Here is a 19,810-nt window from a genome sequence, read left to right as displayed (position 1 = left end):
GCTACTGAGGAGGCTGAGGCAGGAGAATCACTTGAACCTGGGAGGCAGAGGTTGCAGTGAGCCGAGATGGTGCCATTGCACTCCAGTCTTGGTGACACAGTAAGACTCCGTCTCAAAAATAAAATAAAAATAAAAATAAAACCTTCTCATTATAGGCCAGGCGTGGTGCTGACACCTGTAATCCCAGCACTCTGGGGGACTGAGGTGGGTGGATGGCTTGAGCCCAGGAGTTCTAGACCAGCCTGGGCAACATAGTGAGACCCCCATCTGTATAAAAAATTTAAAAATTAGCTGGGTGTGGTGGTGCATGCCTGTTGTCCTAGTTACTTGGGATGCTGAGGAGGGAAGATCGCTTGAGTCCAGGAGTTTGAGACTACAGTGAGCTAAGATCACAGCACTGCACTGCAGCCTTAGCAACAGACCAAGACCCTGTCTCAAGTAAATAAATAACTTTTTATTATAAAGTCATACAACAAGTTATTTAATAAATTATAACAATACACAAGCGTGTTGTGTGGGAACAAAATTCCCCCACCCCAGGTTGCTCTTTCAGGATTATGAAAGAGAAACTCCATGATGCTGCCCAGAGCCATGGATTAGGGGGGATATCGGTCTAGATGAGCGTACAAAACGTACTACCCACTATGAGTGCATATGGCAAGACCTTTACTTCCCAGATGGAAGTTCCCTGAGCCTAAGGAATCCATCTGACTTGTGCAGCTTCTGAGCTCGCTGGATCTGTTCTATTCTCTGTGCAGTGGGGCTGACCATGGTGACTATCTCATAGGGTGGTAATGATACTGCAGGAGCATGGGAGTTGCTCAGCACAGCATCTGGCCCAAAGCAAGGGTTCAACCCATGTTTGCAGTCAAAATACAGCATGGCCCAGAGAACAACGTTGCTTGGACACCTGTAATCCCAGCACTTTGGGAGGCCGAGGCAGGTGGATCACCTGAAGTCAGGAGTTCAAGACCAGCCTGGCCAACATGGTGAAACCCCATCTCTACTAAAAATACAAAAATTAGCCAGGTGTGATGGCTCATGCCTATAGTCACAGCAACTCCGGAGGCTGACGCAGGAGAACCACTTGAACCCAGGAGGCAGAGGTTACAGTGAGTTGAGATCACACCACTGCACTCCAGCCTGGGCGAGATAGCGAGAAAAAAGAAAAAAAAGGTTGGAGAGCAGAGACTGAAGGCTGAGGGGAGTGCAGCATGGCTTCAACTGTCCTTCCTAGCATGTTTGACAGAGTCAGTGACTTGTAATTGAAAGTGGTAAAGAAATAAAGGAGATAGGGAGGCTGAGTGGTGGAAAGAAATGAACTTCGGACCCAGACAGACCTCAGTGTGAAGGCCAACTACATGACTGCCTATTTGTAATGACTTTGGTTGCATTTCCTGAACCTTATTTCCTCATTTATAAAATGGGCAAACAGTATACCTGTATACCAGTATACCTAGATTGTGAGGATTCAACGAGTTAGTGTGAAGTGGCTGGCACATGGTAGTAGATATCTAATAAATGTTAACAGTTTTCCTAGAGCGAGCTTTTGTTTTTTTGTTTTGTTTTGTAAAGTTTGTGTAAACACACAGAATTAGAGCTGAAAGGAGTTTCTAGGCCAAGACCTTCAGTTCCCAGATGGGGAAACTCAGAAAGAAGGTGCATGACTTGCCTGAGCTGTTTTCCAGCTCCCAGGCCATGGTCTGGCCCCCATCCCCAGGGGTCACTGTGACCTGGCTCCCCTGAGCCAGAAGGAGGCCATCTGAGATCCTCCTCTAGGGAAAGTTGGAGAAACCTAACCCTGCTGGGAGTTTTGTCACCAATTAGTTTAATGGACTCTTTTGTGTGGACCTGGCCAGGGAGCAGGAGGGGACAGGATTTATTTGCCTTTTCCTTTCACTACCTGGGCTTCCCAAATGCACATCCTTATGTTGACTTTGAGGCCCTCAGTGTCAGGACATCTATGCTTGCCCACCGCTATTGCTGTAACAAGGTTTTGAAGGATGCCAGGTGCATAATGTCCTGCCTTGTGTCTTTCTCTCTCTCTCTCTCTTTTTTTTTTTTAGGCAGAGTCTCACTCTGTCACCCAGGCTAAAGGGCAAGGGTGCAATCATGACTCACTGCAGTCTCCAGCTGCTGGGTTCAAATGATCCTCCCACCTCAGCCTCCTAAGTAGCTGGGACTGCAGGCATACACCTCCACACCTGCCTAATTTTTGTATTTTTTTGTAGAGATGGGGTCTTGCCATGTTGCTCAGGCTGGTCTCAAACCCCTGGGCTCAAGGGATCTGCCTATCTTGGCTTCCTAAAGTGCTGGGATTACAGGCATGAGCCACCACACCTGGCCCTGCCTTATTTCTTAATACCCAGAGGAAAAAAAAATGTGACCACTCAGATCTTGCACTCATATTTTTTTCTTCCTTTTCCTCCAAATTCAACCAAGGCAACATCTTATACTCTTTCCAAGAAAAACAACAACAACAGCAGCAGCAGCAGCAGCACCACTGTAATTCTCTAACATAGTTTTTTAAAAAATCACACAAAAAATGATGTGAAAGATGCTAAATTAGACTTGCCTAATGAGATGCCTACTTACCCTGGGTTTTGCTTCATGTCTCAGCCCTGGGCACTCTCAGTCATGGCCTTTGGGTCTTGCAACACTTGTCAAGCTCAAGCTCCCAAAGGAATTCTAGAAATCTGTTAGATCCTCCTCGCACCCCAACTCCCTTCAGTACCCAGTGTTCAGGATTAGTGGCAAGGGCCTAGTTTTTGTTTTGTTTTGTTTTGTTTTTTTGAGACGGAGTCTCACTCTGTTGCCCAGGCTAGAGTGCAGTGGCACTATCTCGGCTCACTGCAACCTCTGCCTCCCAGGCTCAAGTGATTTTCTGCCTCAGCCTCCCGAGTAGCTAGGATTACAGGCGTGTGCCACCACGCTTGGCTAATTTTTGTATTTTTAGTAGAAATGAGGTTTCGCTATGTTGGCCAGGCTAGTCTCAAACTCCTGAACTCAGGTGATCCACCAGCCTCAGCCTCCCAAAGTGCTGAGATTACAGGTGTGAGCCACTGTGCCCGGCCTGGCTTAGTTATTTACTACGTGAATAACTCATTCTCTTGGACCAAGCATCTTGCAGGGGACTGAACACCCCAAATCTATTTTCATGTAAATATCCTGTGCTTTTCCACTACATTGTATTCTATCAGGTGAGGATGAACAGAAGCTTGCACCATTAATAACTAGAGAAAGAAACAGGTAACCCGGGCAGGGGAACCCAGCATTTTTTCTCTTTGTGTTTAGAAAATCACCTTGGTTGGCATATTCAGCCAGCAAGAAAGAGAGGATCATCAGGCACAGTGGCTCACACTTGTAATCCCAGCACTTTGGGCGGCCGAGGAGGGCAGATCATGAGGTCAAGAGATCGAGACCATCCTGGCCAACATGGTGAAACCCCGTCTATACTAAAAATACAAAAATTAGCTAGGCGTGATAGCTTGTGCCTGTAGTCCCAGCTACCTGGGAGGCCGAGGGAGGAGAATTGCTTGAATCCGGGAGGTGGAAGTTGTTGTGAGCCAATATTGTGCCATTGCACCCCAGCCTGGTGACAGAGCGAGACACTGTTGCAAAAAAAAAAAAAAAAAAAAAAAAAAAAGGATCAAGGAATTATCTACAAAATGGAACCTTTTAAAACTCTAGAATGTCTTAAAGATATCCCCAACACAATGATCCCTGATGCTCTATTTCTATTTTCATCCTATAACTTTCCTTCAAGGAGTCTATAAAGCATCAACTCAAAGTGACAAGAAGTGGACACATATTCTAAGGGAGCTCCCCAGGACAAAAGGAAGATGGAGGAAATGGTCTCTGAAGGTATGTGTGAAGGTGCTAGACAGGAAGTTGTCCCTGCCCAGCCCTGGTCACAAAAAAAAAAAAACCTCTTTCATCCCAGCCACATCACAAACAAAACAGAGACATTTTGCACATCACCAATCAGTCTGGAATGACCTTTATGACTTTGGAATTGTCCTATCTCCTTCTATTCTCCACCATACCTACTTTATACCTTTCTTCAGTAAAAACTTCTCAATAACCTTTGCCATCTGCTGTGGGGAAACCAAACACGGAGAAGTCACAGTTGCTGTGCAATTTAGTTATGGAGACAAGACAGGGAGACCTTTAACAAAGAATAAAAATGAGGGGATGCTGGCCCAACTGTATCCCTTGTGCATATCTAAAAATAAAGGGGATCAGTGTGTAGATGAGTGGATTAAAACAAAAACAAAATAAGAAAATAAAAGTAAAGGGGAAATTAGCATAAGTTCTCTTGCAAAAAAAAAAAAACCAACCTGAGATTTTCTGAAAGTGTACTCTTTAGATTGGCTCTTGAAAGAAATGAGGGCTGGCCATGGTGACTCACGCCTGTAATCCCAACACTTTGGGAAGCCGAGATAGGCAGATCACTTGAAGTCAGGAGTTCGAGACTAGCCTGGCCAACACAACGAAACCCTGTCTCTACCAAAAATACAAAAAAAGTCGCTGAGCTTGGTGGCAGTAGTTCCAGCTACTCAGAAGCCTGAGGCAGGAGAATCACTTGAACCTGGGAGGCAGAGATTGCAGTGATCCGAGATTGCGCCACTGCACTTCAGCCTGGGTGACAGAGTGAGACTCCATCTCAAAAATAAATAAATAAAAAAGAAAGTGGCTGGGCACGGTGGCTCATGCCTGTAATACAAGCACTTTGGGAGGCCAAGGGGGGGTGGATCACCTGAGGTCAGGAGTTCGAGACCAGCCTGACCAACAGGAAAAAACCATGTCTCTAATAAAAACACAAAATTAGCCAGGTTTGGTGGCATGCGCCTGTAATCCCAGGTACTCGGGAGGCTGAGGCAGTGAGAATCACTTGAACCCGGAGCCAGAGGTTGCAGTGAGCCAAGATCGCGCCATTGCACTCCAGCCTGGGCAACAAGAGTGAAACTCTGTCTTAAAAAAAAAAAAGAAGAAAGCAATGAGGAGGTAGACTGGGGGAAAGACGGCCTTCCTAGTCGGGAAAGCAGCAGGGTATAAAGGAAGGAATAATGAACGGAGAGTTAGGAGAGCTTGGGGTGCATCCAAGCTATCTTGAACTGGGGTTTGCATCTAGGGCATGGGGTGGCCCAGGGTCTGTGAGGTCATTTTCTGATACTTATAGTCGATGGTTAACTTATGATTCTGTGATGGGTTTGGAATACAGATCTGCCAGGCTTGTGCTCCTGGTGTGTGTTATGTCCTTCCACACCCTAGTAGGATGGTGTCAATGGGATCAAAACTTTGCATGTGCCCCTTCCTCTGCCTGGAACTCATCTCCTCTGAATCAAACTCCATTCAGTAGAACCTTCTGGGATGATGGAAATGTTCTATTAACCTGCATTGTCCAGTACAGTAACCACTAGTTAAATGTGGGGATTGAACCTTTGAAATGTGGCTAGTGTGACTGAGGAATGGAATGAATTTTTAATTGTATTTATTTATTCATTTTTGCTTTTGAGTTTTTTTGTTGTTGTTCTTGTTGTTTTGAGACAGGGTCTTGTTATGTTGCCCAGGCTAGTCTAGAACTCCTGGGCTCAAGCGATCTTCCTGCCTCAACCTCCCAAAGTTCTGGGATTATGGGCACAAGCCACTGCAACCCACTGTATTTAAGTCTCATTTATTTATTTATTTTTGTTGCCCAGGCTGGAGTGCAATGGCGAGATCTCGGCTCACCGCAACCTCTGCCTCCCAGGTTCAAGCGATTCTCCTGCCTGGGATTACAGGCATGCGCCACCACGCCCGGCTAATTTTGTATTTTTAGTAGAGACGGTGTTTCTCCATGTTGATCAGGCTGTTCTCAAACTCCCGACCTCAGGTGATCCGCCTGCCTCGGCCTCCCAAAGTGCTGGGATTACAGGCATGAGCCACCTTGCCAGGCCAAGTCTAATTTATTTAAATAGTCACGGGGGCTAGTGGCACCTATACTGGGCGGCATGGCTCATGGTTTGCTCCTTTGCAATGTTCAGCTATCGATCATCTTCTCAGAGAGGCTGTTCCTCAGGATTGCCACCTGTGGAAGGCAGAATGCCCCCCCAACCCCCGCCAAAAACATACACATCTAAATCCCTGGAACCTGTTACCTTACCTGCCAAAGGGGTATTAAGGTTGCAGATGACATCAAGTTGCTGCTGAGCTGACCCTGAAATGGGAAAGTTCTCCTGAATTTTCTGGATGAGCCCATCTAATCTTTTGAGTCCTTAAAAGGGAAAAAGAAGTAGGTAGAGAAGTAGATGAGCTATAGAGATGAGAGAGATGAAAAAGGAGAAAGATTAGAAGTGTGAGGCAGGCCAGGCGCAGTAACTCACGCCTGTAATCCCAACACTTTGGGAGGCCTAGGCGGGCAGGTCACCTGAGGTCAGGAGTTCGAGACCAGCTTGACCAACATGGTAAAACCCCGTCTCTACTAAAAATACAAAAATTAAAGAAGTAGACATAGGAGACTCCATTTTGTTCTGTACTAAGAAAAATTCTTCTGCCTTGGGATGCTGTTGATCTATGACCTTACCTCCAACCCGGTGCTCTCTGAAACATGTGCTGTGTCCACTCACGGTTAAATGGATCAAGGGCAGTGCAAGATGTGCTTTGTTAAACAGATGCTTGAAGGCAGCATGCTCGTTAAGAGTCATCACCACTCCCTAATCTCAAGTACCCAGGGACACAAACACTGGGGAAGGCCCCAGGGTCCTCTGCCTAGGAAAACCAGAGACCTTTGTTCACTTGTTTATCTGCTGACCTTCCCTCCACTATTGTCCTATGACCCTGCCAAATCCCCCTCTGCGAGAAACACCCAATAATGATCAATAAAAAGTAAAAAAAAATAAAAATAAAAATAAAAATAAAAATACAAATACAAAAATTAGCCAGGCATGATGGTGGGCGCCTGTAGTCCCAGCTACTCAGGAGGCTGAGACGAGAGAATCACTTGATCGCTTGAACCCGGGAGGCGGAGGTTGCACTGAGCAGAGATTGCGCCACTGTACTCTAGCCTGGGCGACAGAGTGGGACTCTGTCTGAAAAAAAAACCAAGAAGTGTGAGGGGGAATCACCCTCCGTGGTTGGCTTTGAAAATGGAGACAGGCAGGCTCTGTCAACCAAGTGCAGTGGCCTCTAGGAGCTCAGAACAGGCCCTCCATGGACAGCCAGCAGGCAAACTGGGCCTCAGTCCTACAACTGCAAAAAACTGAATTCTGCCAAAAACTTGAATGAGCACAGAAACAGATTCTCCCCGAGAACCTCCAGAAAGGAGCATGGTCTGCTAACACCTTGATCTTAGTCCCATGAGACCCACACCAGACTTCTGACCTATACAGCTGTAAGACAATACATTTGTGTTGTTTAAAGCCACTAAATCTGTGGTCATTTGGGCCGGGTGTGGAGGCTCACGTCTGTAATCCCAGCACTTTGGGAGGCTGAGGTGGGAGAATAGCTTGAGGCCAGGAGTTCAAGACCAGCCTGGGCAATACAGCAGGACCCCAACTCTACAAACAAATAAAAAAATTAGGGCCAGGTGTGGTAGCTCATGCCTGTAATCCCAGCACTTTGGGAGGTCAAGGTGGGCAGATCACCTGAGATCAGGAGTTCGAGACTAGCCTGACCAACATGGAGAAACCCCATCTCTACTAAAAATAAAAAATTAGCTGGGCGTGGTGGCGCATGCCTGTAATCCCAGCTACTCAGGAGGCTGAGGCAGGAGAATTGTTTAAACCCGGGAGGCAGAGGTTGCAGTGAGCCAAGATCATGCCATTGAACTCCAGCCTAGGCAACAAGAGTGAAACTCCGTCTCAAAAAAAAAAAAAGAAAAGAAAAAAATTAGCCAGGTGTGGTGGCATGCGCCTATAATCCCAGCTACTTGGGAGGCTGAGGCAGGAGAATCACTTGAACCCAGGAGGCGGAGGTTGCAGTGAGCTGAGATCACGCCATTGAACTGCAGCCTGGGCAACAAGAGTGAAACTCCATCTCAAAACAAAAATACAAAACTTAGCTGGGTGTGGTGGCTCACGTTTATAGTCCCAAACTCTTGGGAGGCTGAGGTGGGAGGATCATTTGAGCCTAGGAGGTCGAGGCTGCAGTGAGCTGAGATCACGCCACTGCACTCCAGCCTGGGTGGCAGAGTGAGACCCCATCTCTAAATAAATAAAAATTTGTGGTCATTTGTTTCGGCAGCAATGGGAAACTAATACTCCACCCTAGACTGGCTCTAGGCCCACCCTGGTGGGGCCCCTAAGGAGTCAGGAGTCTAAGGACCCAAGGAGAGGTGCCCCTATGGAGGCCTCTTCTAACATCAGTGAGCTGCTCAATGGCCCTGGTCCTGCACTCATGGCCCACATGTGCCTCCTCTCTCGTTCTGTCCTCCAGAGGGTGAACAGGCCTCAGATGAGCACCCCCAGGCCTGAGGGGAAACACATCAATGGGTGTCTGTGCGGGAACAGGTGAGGCCTGAGCTGGGACACTGGGCTTCAGTGTCCACATGGACACATGCAAGTCCCTTTGATGTATGAGACATGGCAAGGCAGAGGAGGGCTGGGAAGAAAAGTAGCTCAGGAGCAGGGCTCAGGGTCGGCCTCTGCTCTCTGGGCTGCTGGGTGGAACTCTGGGAAGGCTGTGGATTTTATTTTTTACAAATTTAATTTATAATTTATTTTAAAAATAGAGATGGGGTCTCACTATGTTGCCTGGGTTGGTCTAGAACTCCTGGGCTCACGTGATCCTCCTGCCTTGGTCTCCCAAAGGTATGGGATCACAGGTGTGAGCCACCTCACCTGGCCAGTCTGTGGATTTTAAATTCAAGTCAGATCTCCCAGGTGTTTGTGAGGGTATATGAAGGAGAATAAAATATATATTTCTCTCTTTTTTTAGAGACAGGATCTTCCTCTGTTGTCCAGGTTGGAGTGCAGTGGCATGATCTCAGCTCATGGCAGCCTTGACCTCTCAGGCTCAAGTGATCCTCCCACCTCAGCCTCCCAATTATCTGGGACTACAGGCGTGAGCCATCACACCGAGCTAATTTTCATATTTTTTTATAAAGATGGGGTCTTGCCACATTGCTCAGGCTGGTCTCGAACTTCTGGCCTCAAGTAATCCTCCCATCTCAGCCTCCCAAAGTGCTGGGATTACAGGAGTGAACCACTGCGCCCAACCCTGCCCTTCCCTTTCCTTTCACTACACAGCCTTGTCCTTGAGAATCTCATTGGCTCCTGTGATTTTAACCATCCCCTGTAGGAACATGATACCCCAAAGCATAGTATTTTCTCAAATTCCATTTCCAAATTTTATCTTGTCTGCTGCACTTCTCCATCTAGATATCCCAGAGACCACTCAGCATTCCGTGTCTAAACTTAACCCCCTCCCCAATCCACCCACCATTTCCTACCATTTCTGAGATTCAGAACCATGGGCGCTCTGACCCTTCCCTCTTCCTCACCTCAGACAACCATTCCACCAACAAGCCCTCTGGATTTTACTACCACCACAGCTTCACTAATCCAAATGTGTCCTAGGGGCCGGGCACGGTGGCTCATGCTTATAATTCCAGCACTTTAGGAGGCTGAAGCACGAGGATCACTTGAGCTCAGGAGTTTGAGACCAGCCCGGAAAATAGAGTGAGACCCTCCCTGTATCTACAAAAAATTTTAAAAATTAGCCAGGCATGGTGGCACATGTCTGTAGTCTCAGCTGCTTGGGAGGCTGAGGTGGGAGGATCACTTGATCCCAAGAGGTTGAGGCTGCAGTGAGTCATAATCACACCACTGTACTCCAGCCTGGGTGATGGAGTGAGACTCTGTCTCAAAAAAAAAAAAAAAAAAAAAAAAAGAGCCTCTCAGAGTTCCCAGTCCAGTTCTTCCTGCTTTGCATACCTGATTAATCCAGTACAGCCGGGGCTCTGAGTATGTTACCCTTCCTGTTCAAAAACTTTCAGTGGCTCTTCCTGGGAACAGAGGAATGAACTTTTCCATTTTGGCACTCCAGATCTCACAGTATGTGAGATTACGGTAGTTTAATATTTAACCTGCAAGAGGCTTGAAATCCCAAGACCTGAGACAAAATCCTGGATGCGCCCAGGTTGGTTTCAAACTCTGGGCCTCAAGTGATCTTCCTGTCTCGTGTGACTCTGGGCAAGTTGTGCCAACTCTGTGAACCTCTGTCAGGGATAATTCTCCAATCAAGTGTCTTGAGGATGGAATTAGATAATGCATACAAAATATTTATCCTTGTTCACATTAAGCCATGACTATATTGTAGCTGCTATCATTATTAGCTCACATAAAGGTGCTTAGCAAAAAGTGCCTGCCACTAAGGTACTCAAGCAATCAGTGCTTTCCCAAGATGTTACTTGAGTCTGTATCTCTGGTGTTACTTGTATTTCAAAACTGTTTTTTCCCATTACATTTTATTTATTTTTTGAGACAGAGTCTTGATCTGTCGCCCAGGCTGGAGTGCAGTGACGTGATCTTGGCTCACTGCAAACTACACCTCCCAGGTTCAAGCGATCCTCCTGCCTCAGCCTCCCGAGTAGCTGGGATTACAGAAACCCACCACCACGCCCAGCTAATTTTTGTATTTTCAGTAGAGACAGGGTTTCTCCATGTTGGCCAGGCTGGTCTCGCACTCCTGATCTCAAGTGATCCACTCACCTTGGCCTCCCAAAATGATGGGATTACAGGCTTGAGCCACCACGCCCGGCCATTACTTCTCATTTATGAAAGATGACATGACATACAAATGTATATGCTAATATATTTACTCTATGTCGGAGGTTGGCAAACTTTTTCTGTAAAGGGCCAGATAATAAATATTTCAACTAAGGCAGGCCATACTATGATGTAACTTTTCAACTCTGCTGTTAGCCGCCATAGACAAAATGTAACTGAAGGGGTATGGCTGTGTCTCGATAAAACTCTATTCATGTTACTAGATAATTCAGGGAATGGGAGTTAAAAAAAAAAAAACTTTATTAATGGATGCTAAACTTTGAATTTCATATAATTTTCTTTTGTTCTCTCCTTTCTTTCTTTCTTTTATTTTTTTCTCTCTTCCCCATCCCCTTCCACTTCCCTTTCCCTTTCCTCTTCTTTTTCTTTCAAGATAGTATCTCACTCTGTTGCCCAGGCTGGAGTGCAGTGGCACAATCATGGCTCACTGCAGCCTGGACCTCCTGGGCTCAAGCAATCCTCCTGCCTCAGACTCCCGAGTAGCACGCCACCACGCCAGATAATTTTTTACTTTTGTATTTATTTATTTATTTTTTGAGATGGAATGTCACTCTGTCACCCAGTCTGGAATGCAGTGGCCCAATCTCGACTCACTGCAACCTCCGCCTCCCAGGTTCAAGCGATTCTCCTGCCTCAGCCTCTGAAGTAGCTGGGACTACAGGTGCTCACCACCATGCCCAGATAATTTTTGTATTTTTAGTAGAGACGGGGTTTCACCATGTTGGCCAGGCTGGTTTTGAACTCCTGACCTTAGGTGATCCACCTGCCTCAGCCTCCCAAAGTGCTGGGATTACAGGCATGAGCCACGGTGCCAAGCTCCATAATTTTCATGTGTCACGAAATATTCTTCTTTTGATTTTTTCCAACCATTTAAACATGTAAGGCCGGGCTCTATAGAGTGTTCTTTTAATTTAAACAGAACAATAGCTAAGAATAATATGAAGTAAAGGAGAGTACAAATGATTTGTGGGCCAATAGAATAGTCTAACAGTGGCTCAACAATAACCAAGTTGAGCAATGCAGTCATAAATGTTTACTGTGCATAAAACCCTACAGTCTGGTTCAACCTAGCTGTCCAGCAGTGTCTCCTCCAGGCCCCAGTGAAAGCGGGCTTCCATTTCCCCAAACACAGACCCTGCACATTGCCTAGTTCCTCTGTCTAGAATACACCCTCCCGTTGTGCTCATTAAAAGCATATCCTGCCTGGGCACAGTGGCTCATTCCTGTAATCCAGCACTTTGGGAGGCTGAGGCAAGAGGATCGCTTGAGGTCAGGAGTTCTAGACCAGCCTGGGTAACATGGCAAAACCCTGTCTCCACCAAAAACAGAAAAATTAGCCATGCGTGGTGGCGCATGCCTGTAATCTCAGCAACTCGGAGGCTGAGGTAAGAGAGTCTCTTGAGCCCTGGAGGCAGAGGTTACAATGGGCTGAGACAGTGCCACTGCACTCCAGCCTAGATGTCAAAGCAAGACCCTGTCTCAAAAAAAGAATTTAAAATTTGAAAAATAATAAAAAGAAACAAAAGCACATCCTCGAAGGGCCATATCAAATGCCACCTCTTAAAAATTCTACGGCCAGGCACGGTGGCTCGTGCCTGTAATCCCAGCACTCTGGGAGACCGATGCAGGCAGATCACTTGAGGTCAGGAGTTCGAGACCAGCCTGGCCAACATAGCGAAACCCCCATCTCTATAAAAAATACAAAAATTGGCCAGGAGTCACGGCACATGCCTGTAATCCCAGCTACTTGGGAAGCTGAGGCACGAGAAGCACTTGAACCCAGAAGGCGGAGGTTGCAGTGGGCCAAGATTATGCCATTGCACTCCAGCCTGGGCGACAGAGCAAGAGCTTGTCTCAAAAAAAAAAAGAAAATATTCAATGATTCTTCCCTACCCCTCATAAATGGTATTTTCCCTTCTCTCTCCCTTCTCCTTGTGCCCTGTTCTCTCAGTAATAGCTTGTTTGTGCCTCCATCATTGTACTTATAGTCTAGTTATTTTTTGCTATTTATCTTACTTCAAACCAAGCTTCTTGAGGTGTGGGGCCTTCACTCAGGATCCCTCAGTGCCTGGCATATAGCAAGCACTCAGGAAGCATCTCTCGAGGTTGTTTCTTGGAATTGAACACAGGGTATGACGTCACTCCGGCCACTGTGTAACTGACATAATGAAGTGGGAAGAGATTGGCTAGTTGAAATTGCAGTAAATGGAATGGGTCTGGTGCGTTACTCGTTCTAGTTAACGGAATGAAGTATTGTCCCCCACCCCCCACCAAAATAAAAAACAAATGGAGTAGGTCTGGATGGGGGTGTTGGGAGGCAGTGAAGGGAAAGGCTGTGCCTCTGGGGCACAGCTGGAGGAGAATCCTGTTTGGTGATTGAGGTGGCATGACTAGTCTGTCTTAGTTATGCCTTCCGCAGGAAGCAGGTCTGAAAAGAGAGAAAAGTAGGGCTTCTTAGAGCTTCCCACACACAGGAGAGGCTCAGCAAAGAACACAGTGAAATTCAACTGCTGATTCTCTCCGGGCCTCAGGAGAGCAGGGTTCTGAGAAGGGCCTCGCGATACACATCGTGCCCCAGTTACACCGAGTGAATCAGGCTCTGATGCAATTGGCAATAGGCCTTAATCACAAGCTTCATCTCACAGGCTCCGCACAGATGAGCTTTGTCATTTCTCTGAGGGAATCACTGTCATTTCTCTTCCAGGCTCAAAGCAGCTCCCCCTGCCCCGTGTAAAGCGCTGATGAGATGGCAATTTAAACTGCTTTGATGACCAGGTTTCATTAGGTAAGAAGGCCCGATTAAGCAACGGTGGCCCAAATAACCTCAGTGGTTCAGACACTGTTTTTCAAAGCCAGCAGAAGTCTTGCCAAATTAAAGGATGTCAGGATGAGATGCTATGAATATCAGTTTCCTTCTCTCTGGCAATGGAGAGGATTAATTAAATGCCTGTGAAGTGCTTTGAAAATTTAAGCTGTTGAGAATTATTGTTCTGTGTAATAGGGAAAAAATAGAGTTCTTGGCTCATTAAAGCTGTAATGTTGCAAGCCTGAGCACTATTTTCAGGATATCTTTGAGAGCTACATTTTTATTAAGAGGAAGAAAAGAGAAATGTGTCTATGAATACAGATATACAGTGTACATGCTGGAAAGTCAGTTGGGTTAATCAGTATGTCTCTTGATTAAGAAATGAACTGGAGGCTGGGTGTGGTGGCTCATGCCTATAATCCCAGCATTTAGGGAGGATGAGGCAGGAGTATCACTTGAGCCAGTGAGTTTGAGTCCAGCCTGAGCAACAGAGTGAGACTTTGTTTCTAAATAAAAAAAAAGAAAGGCTGGGGGCAGTGGCTCACGCCTGTAATCCCAACACTTTGGGAGGCCAAGGCAGGTGGATCACCTGAGGTCAGGAGTTGGAGACTGGCCTGGCCACCATGGCGAAACCCTGTCTCTACTAAAGACACAAAAATTAGCTGGGTGTGGCGATGGGTGCCTGTAGTCCCAGCTACTCAGGAAGCTGAGGCAGGAGAATCACTAGAACCTGGGAGGCCAAGGTTGCAGTGAGCCAAGATCGGGCCACTGCACTCCAGCCTGGGCAACAGAGTGAGACTCCATCTCAAAAAAAAAAAAAAAAAAAAAAGAAATGAATGAACTGGGAGAAACTGTTTCTTATTGATTACCACAATCAGTACAGACAGTTATTAAGAATCAGTTGCTTAACTGTGTAGGGACAGTTTCACTAAAACTAGCAGACAGGTATTTGTTTTCTTTCAATAGGATCAAGGGATGAAAAGACTGAGATTGTATACATGTAAATACCAAGTTCAGTGAGTTTCCATGGCCTCTTCTGTCTTAATACAACTTACCAAACAATCCAGACAGATTTCTGCCTCCACTTTGTTGATTTACCCAGGTATATTTTGGCTTTGTTTGCAGATATTCGGTGACATTTGGAAGGGTGCTGTCCGCAGCTGCCCCTCACCTCTCTTTCACTCTACATTGACTGAGGATTTACACTTTGTTTTGTGTCTGTACTAGTTTCCTATCGCTGCTTTAACAAATTACTGCAAACTTAGTGGGTTGCCACAACATAGATGTATTATATTACAGTTCCAGAGGTCAGAAGTCTAAAATTAGTCTTATGGGGCTAACATCAAGGTGTCGGCCGGGCTGACCCCATGTGGATACTCCAGGGAAAGAATCTGTTTCCTTGCCTTTTCAGTTTTCTAGAGGCCTCCTGCATTCCATGGCTCATGGCCCCTTTCTGGGTCTCTCTGACCTCTGCTTTTGTTGTTGTTGTTTGTTGAGATAGAGTCTTGCTATGTTGCCCAGACTGGTCTCAAACTCCTGGGCTCAAGTGCTTCTCCTGCCTTGGCCTCCAAAGGGATTACAGGTGTGAGCCACTGAGCCTGGCTCAGACCTCTTGTTATCACGTCTTCTATCTCTTGGCCCATGGGATAGTCCAGGATAATGTCTTCATCTCAAAATCCTTAACTCAATCACATATGCTAAGTCCTTTTTGCCACATAAAGTAATTTATTCACAGGTTCTGGGGATTAGGTTGTAGACTTTTTTTTTTTTTTGAGATGGAGTCTCCCTCTTGTTGCCCAGGCTGGAGTGCAGTGGCACGATCTTGGCTCACTGAAACCTCCACCTCCCAGGTACAAGCAATTCTCCTGTCTCAGCCTCCCGAGTAGCTGGGATTACAGGCATGCACCACCATGCCTGGCTAATTTTGTAGTTTTAGTAGAGATGGGGTTTCTCCATGTTTGTCAGGCTGGTCTCAAACTCTCGACCTCAGGTGATCCACCCGCCTCCGTCTCCCAAAGTGCTGGGATTACAGGCATGAGCCACCGTGCCCAGCCAGGCATTTTTTTTTCTTTTTAAGACCAAGTCTTGCTTTGTCAACCAGTCTGGAGTGCAGTGGTGCAATCTCAGGTCAGCAACCTCTCCACCTCCCAGGTTCAAGCGATTCTCCTGCCTCAGCCTTCCAAGTAGCTGAGACTACAGAAGTGTGCCACCACGCCCAGCTAAATTTTTTTTGTTATTGTTGTATTTTTAGTAGAGACAGGGTTTCTCCTGACCTCAAGTGATCCACCCACCTAGGCCTCCCAAAGTCCTGGGTTTACAGGCGTGAGCCGCCTTGCCCAGCCTTGAGCCTGCTTTCTCATTCAAATATCACATAGACTTTAGACTGGCCGCGGTGGCTCGTGCCTGTAATCCCAGCATTTAGGGAGGCCTAGGTGGGTGGATTGCTTGAGCCTAGGAGTTTGAGACCAGCCTGGGCAATATGGTGAAACCCCGTCTCTACAAAAAATGCAAAAATTACCTGGGTGTGGTGGCTATTTTGAAAGCTGAGGCAGGAGGATCGCTTGAGCCCAGGAGGTCGATGCAGCAGTGAGCTCTGATCGCACCACCGCACTCCAGCCTGGGTGATGGGGCAAGACCCTGTCTCAAAAAAAAAAAAAAAATTCTCCCTTTTCTCTACCCCAACTCCACCTAGTTCCCCTTTCCTAGTACTTTTTGCCAGAAATAACCCCTTTAACCATTGCAGCTTTAATGCGTCTAGCGGTCACCACTGTACCCTAAGTGTTATAACTTTTGTGTGCATGTGTTTTTTGAGATGGAGTTTCGCTCTTTCGCCCAGGCTGGAGTAAAGTGGCACGATCTCGGCTCACTGCAACCTCCGCCCCCTGGATTCAAGCGATTCTCCTGCCTCAGCCTCCCAAGTAGCTGGGATTACAGATGCCTGCCACCACCACACCTGGCTAATTTTTGTATTTTTAGTAGAGATGGGGTTTCGCCATGTTGGCCAGGCTGGTCTCGAACTCCTCACCTCAGGTGATCCACCTGCCTCAGCCTCCCAAAGTGCTGGGATTACAGGCATGAGCCACCGCACCTGGCCATTTTTTCATTAACATAGTGAATTGCAGGTAGTTGTTTAGATAATGTAAAATATACTTTAATTCATCCTTCTAAAATTCATTAAAATGAAAACCCTGAATTGACAAATTCTCATAAAGGACTTGAGGGCCCTGCAGATTCATGTGTAAGCCCTCCTGGATGAATATGAATCACAGATCATGTTTCTCCTCAGCTGTAAGACACGATGAATGAGGAAGGAGCAAAGGCTCTGGGGCCAGACGGACCTGGATGTTAACTTCCACACCTCCACTTATTAGTACATGCCATGGGAAAGTTCTTTATCCTTTCTGAGTTTCCATTTCCTCATCTGTAAAATGGGAAAGCAGTGCTCACTTCATATATTTGTTAGTATTAAATTAAGTAACCCGCCTGGCACGGTGGTTCACACCTGTAATCCCAGCACTTTGGGAGGCAGAGGCGGGCAGATCACGAGGTCAAGAGATCGAGACCATCCTGGCTAACACAGTGAAACCCCATCTCTACTAAAAATACAAAAAATTAGCCAGGCGTGGTGGCGGGCGCCTGTAGTCCCAGCTCCTCGGGAGACTGAGGCAGGAGAATGGCGTGAACCCGGGAGGCGGAGCTTGCAGTGAGCCGAGATCACGCCACTGCACTCCAGCCTAGGTGACAGAGCGAGACTCCGTCTCAAAAAAAAAAAAAATTAAGTAACCCATGAACTTGTGCGTGTGTTAAGCATTTCTTGAATGCTAAATGTTTCTAAATGCTAGTTTCTCCAAGATAATTTGGAAAGAAAGTCAAATATCTACTAACAATGAATGAAAGGATGTAAAAGAGAAACTGGAAACAGATTCCATAGACCGTGATAGTTAAGGGCATGGTCCTTGTTTAATATTTCTTCATTTGCTCAACAAAAATGTTGAGGGCCCTTTATGTGTCAGCCACTGTGCTAGGCATAGATGGAAATACAGACATGCACCCTGCCCTCCAGGGATTTATTCTACTTATTGCCATGTCATAGCAGTTCAACAAATACTTAAATTTTTTAAAAAGGCTAAGGCCGCGCATGGTAGTTCACGCCTATAATCCCAGCACTTGGGGAGGCCGAGATGGGCAGATGGCTTGAGCTCAGGAGTTTGAGACCAGCCTGGGCAACATGGTGAAACCCTGTCTCCACCAAAAATACAAAAAAATTAGCTGGGCACAGTGGCACGCACCTGTGTTTCCAGCTACTCAGGAGGCTGAGGTGGGAGGATTGCTTGAGCCTGGGAGGCAGAGGTTGCAGTGACCAAGATCTCACCAGTGCACTCCAACCTGGGTGACAGAGTAAGACTCCGTCTTGGAAAAAAAAAAAAAAAAGAAAAAAGAAAAAGGCTAAATTCTGACAAGTGTAAAGAAAAGATTTGGATCCATGGAAATGAGCATCTGTGGGTTGGGCATGAGGCAGGGGTTGTACCTAATGCACTGGACAGTTATCACTGCATTCCAATGAACTCAAGAACAACAATTACTTAAACTAATTGTCAGTATCACCTACTTCCACCAGCTACATAAAAACCTCAATGATTTTCTAATTTTTTTTTTTGATACAAGGATCTTGCTCTGTTGCCCAGGCTGGAGTGCAGTGGTGTGATCTCTGCTCACTGCAACCTCCACCTCCTGGGTTCAAGTGATTGTCCTGCCTCAGCCTCCCGAGTAGCTGAGATTACAGGCATCCACCACCACACCTGGCTAATTTTTGTAGTTTTAGTAGAGACGAAGTTTCACCATGTTGGCCAGGCTGGTCTCCAAATCCTGACCTCAGGTGATCTGCAGGCATTGGCCTCCTAAAGTGCTGGGATTACAGGCGTGAGCCACCGTGCCCGGCTCTAACTTCTTGAAAAATGTGATGCCTAGCATGTAACCTTTTTCCTAAAGAAACTTGATTATATTGAAGGAAAACTACAGTTATGGGCGAACTCATTTCCCAACCACTTGGGCTTTTGGGAACTTCCTTCAGCTACTTCCTGTTTCATTCTTGGATGCTCATGTTGTGTCTCTAACTTCTCCACCATGTCCAGGAAAATTTGTTTGGGATACTGTTTAACACATTCACCAACCTCAGACAGTGACTGGCAACAGGTGTGTCTGATAAAGAAAACATTGTTTCTGCTCTGCTGTAGGCATGTCTGACAAGTTGGGGACCTGCTTTCCTTTGCAAAGCTTATAGGAGTCTATTTGGGAGGGAGGAACCGCCTTCCAGTTTCCAGGCTGAAAAAGATTCTGTTTCGCTACCAGCAGAGCCAGGCTTGGAAGGGAATGCTAATATGTTTCCAGACCTATCCACCTAAGCTGAATGACAAATGGGTATCAGTGGTTTAATGTAAGAGGAGATAGCTATAGTTTCCTGGGCAAGAGACATCTGTGATTGCCTGGAAACAAACACAGCCCATCGGTGATTCAATAGATGGGTTTGGTCTTGTGAACTGGTCTATTGTAAAATAACTATATTGACATGAAGACACTTGGAAATCATCTGTTCAGTCTTAACTAGTTTAGCCAACTTTGACAGCATTATCTGAGAGGCTGAGGCACAAGAATCGCTTGAACCCAGGAGATGGAGGTTGCAGTGAGCCGAGATTACAAAATAAATAAATAAATAAATATCAATTTAATATAAATTCATAGCAAAACCCCCAAATAAAGATACTCTCATCAGTGCCTGTTTTATTTATTCATTTATTTTTATGTTTTTAGAGATGGAGTGTCCCTCTGTCACCCAGATGGGAGTGCAGGGGCACAATCATAGCTCACTATGGCCTCAAATTCCCAGGTTCAAGCAATCCTCTCATTTTGGCCTCCTGATTAGATGAGATTACAGGCGCACACCACCCTGCCGGGCTAATTTTTAAACTTTTTATAGGGACGGGGTCTTGCTATGTTCTTAGGTTGGTCTGGAACTTCTGGGCCTCAAGCGATCCTCTTGCCTTGGCCTCCCAAAGTGCTGGGATTACAGGTGTGAGCCACCGTGCCTGGCCAGTGCCTGTTTTATTCATAAGAGGAAAGTAATTTACATCACTGGTACCTTAACTACGGGCCAGATGCAGGACCAGAGCGTTATGTTCCATTGCAATAGATGGAATTACCATTTGATGTGATTTGAGGGGACCAGGAAGGCTCCCTA

General features: G+C 46.3%; 1 annotated feature.

The window, feature by feature from the left end:
• Positions 7,615 to 8,360: an enhancer, noted in NCBI's record as "H3K27ac-H3K4me1 hESC enhancer chr16:48432985-48433730 (GRCh37/hg19 assembly coordinates)". NCBI's record gives its function as "activates a minimal SCP1, AML or CMV promoter by ChIP-STARR-seq in naive H9 embryonic stem cells {active_cell/tissue: H9 hESC(naive)}" and the evidence as "EXISTENCE:reporter gene assay evidence [ECO:0000049][PMID:30033119]".

The sequence above is a fragment of the Homo sapiens genome, chromosome 16 (assembly GCF_000001405.40).
Source record: "Homo sapiens chromosome 16, GRCh38.p14 Primary Assembly".
Lineage (NCBI taxonomy): Eukaryota > Metazoa > Chordata > Mammalia > Primates > Hominidae > Homo > Homo sapiens.
The sequence above is the reverse complement of the archived record's forward strand: the minus strand, read 5'-3'. Positions and strand labels throughout refer to the sequence as shown.